The sequence below is a fragment of the Homo sapiens genome, chromosome 2 (genome assembly GCF_000001405.40).
Source record: "Homo sapiens chromosome 2, GRCh38.p14 Primary Assembly".
Classification (NCBI taxonomy): domain Eukaryota; kingdom Metazoa; phylum Chordata; class Mammalia; order Primates; family Hominidae; genus Homo; species Homo sapiens.
The window spans coordinates 123,864,018-123,866,699 of record NC_000002.12 but is presented as its reverse complement, the minus strand read 5'-3'; positions in this window follow the sequence as shown (position 1 = coordinate 123,866,699).

Sequence of the window (2,682 nt, the reverse complement as noted above, 5' to 3'; positions counted from 1 at the left end):
ACACTTCAGCCCACTTCAAAACTCTTCCAATTCCTAGCCCCATACTCCTTGGAGAGACAGATTTGACTTTTCCTTCCATGTCCTTGTTCAGTGGCCTTAGGATTAAACCTCTTATTCTGCCGTAACCCAGTATCTTTGTGGGTTGACTTGCTGCATGCATAAGGCAAGGAACTTATTACTGTTACAGCTATAACATATAACTGTGTAATAGGCTATACCACTTAACTTTGTGTAAGTGCACTCTATAATGTTCACACAATAATGGAATGTCCTAATGATGTATTCTCAGAACATACTCCCATCGTTAAGCAATGCATAACTGTCTTAGCATAACGTTTATCAAAAACTATTCAAGATGCCCAGCCACTGCGATAAGATTTTTATGTACTTTATCTCATAAACTCTTTACACTACCTTTCTGTATCTGTTTTGCAGATCAGAAAACTGAGGCTATATGCAGCTAAATGAGTAGGTAGTCGATTTAAATTTCTACCAAGTCTGCCTGATTCCAAACTATATTTCACTGTTATAGCTAAAAAGTATCTACTGCCCATTTTGCGCCAAACGCTGTTCTAAATATATTTAGAATATATATATATATATATATATATATATATATATATATATATGTATATGTGAATTAACTTTTTGGTCTCTTATAATTAATGATTTGGTGTAGTTACTATTATTATGACCCTAATGTATGAATAAAGAGAACAAGGCACAAAGAAGACAAGTAGCATTCTTAAAGTCACACAACTAGATAAACTAATACTAACTCCCAGAGTTAATCCCAACAAATCTGACTCCAAAACTAATATTCAAACCACCTTGACTTCTAGGGGGAAAAGGTCAGTTTTGACATATTGCCTTGTAAAGGTATTTCCACCCCTAAGTCTCCAAATCTATGTTGTTATGTCCAATACCAAGTGATTAGATTCTGTATTTTTTTCTTGTCTTTTTTTTTTTTTTTTTTTTTTTTTTTCAGATGGAGCCTCACAATGTCACCCAGGCTGGAATGCAGTGGCATGATCTTGGCTCACTGCAACCTCTGCCTCCCGGGCTCTAGCGATTCTCCTGCGTCAGCCTCCCAAGTAGTTGGGATTACAGGCACTTGCCACCATGCCCAGCTAATTTTTTGTATTTTTAGTAGAGACGGGGTTTCACTATGTTGGCCAAGCTGGTCTCAAACTCCTGACCTCGTGATCCACCCATCTTGGCCTCCCAAAGTGCTGGGATTACAGGCATGAGCCACCGCGCCTGGCCTTTTTCCCTATCTAAAATATGAATACCTTTTTAAGAGCTGTATATTGGTAAAAACTGTATTTGTAGTATTAGCAAATTAGACATTAAGAGTATAGGAAGGATGGCAGATGATACTAAAAACCTAGCTAAGAACTCAGCACAAAGCAAAGCAGTATCTACAACTCAAACTATCTCTTGTTTGCCTAACAATTCTGACACACGTGATGGAGTAAGTTTAGTGTTAAGGGAAGAGGAACTTTCCCCATAAATGAGCCATGTAACACACTCCAGAGAGGTGTGGACCTAATAAATAAATACATTCAAAATGAATCAAAAATTCATTTTATATTCATCCTGGTGGCCAAGGTGAAGTGGGGAGGAGTGGGGGACATACTGTTTTGCTAAAATGATAATAAGAGCAATGGCTGAAAGATATCTTGTGCACCTCTTGGAAATCACTTTAAACAGCCATACTGGCAAATTTGCCTTTTTTCTCTGAAAAGAAAAAAAGAAAAATGGATACAGAATTTTTAAGGTCTTTACTACAATGGCCTAATCAGCACATTTCAAGTGGCATTGTAGTTAAGTATCAATTGCAGATGGAGTTCTATAATTTTCTTTATTAATACACAAAGAAATAGGCAGATTAAATCTAAAACATCTGCTTAAGGGATGGTAGCACTGAATGAATAATGGTACAGCTCTGTTCATGACTGAATTTTACCACTGTGAGTTTAATTTTCCTGCTTTTACACAATGACCCTTTAAACCATAAACAGTGGAGAATAATGTCTCCTTATGTCACATATTATTAACCCCAAGGAGTTGTCCATGCGAGCCCAGAATAGAGCAAGACAGAGCAGGGTTTATTCTGGGCCTTTCTCACATTAAATATTTCAGAACAATTTGGGAAACTGTCAATTTCAAACTTAGCCTGTAACTTCTGAGAAGCAGAATGAGCTGTCAAGATATTGAATCAGGCATGGATGCCAAGAAGTAATTGTACAGAGGGAATTCAATATACATTTCACATGACCACTTTGCAAATGACGGCTCTGCACTAGACCAGATGCAGAGAGCAGTAGGATGGGATAGTCCTATAGGACACTCACTATAGGACAGCCTGGCCTGGCTGGAAAACCTTGCTCCCCAGCTGTGGGAACTCCTGTCCGTCCCCGAATGTATTCAGCATTGTCATTGCTAGCTATATATCTGTAGTTTTTCTTTGCAACTAATCACATACACACAAATTGTCTCTCTTTCTTTTTCCTGTCTTTTTTTTTTTCTTGTCTACATAGGGACTGTACACTTAAGGCTTCTGAGTTAAATGTAGTGGAACAATTTAGCTTGTTTAGCTAATATAATGTGTATTTGTTTCCTTTTAAATGCTGTTAGGTGAGAAACCCATTCTCCATTTCTAATATCATCTTTACTATT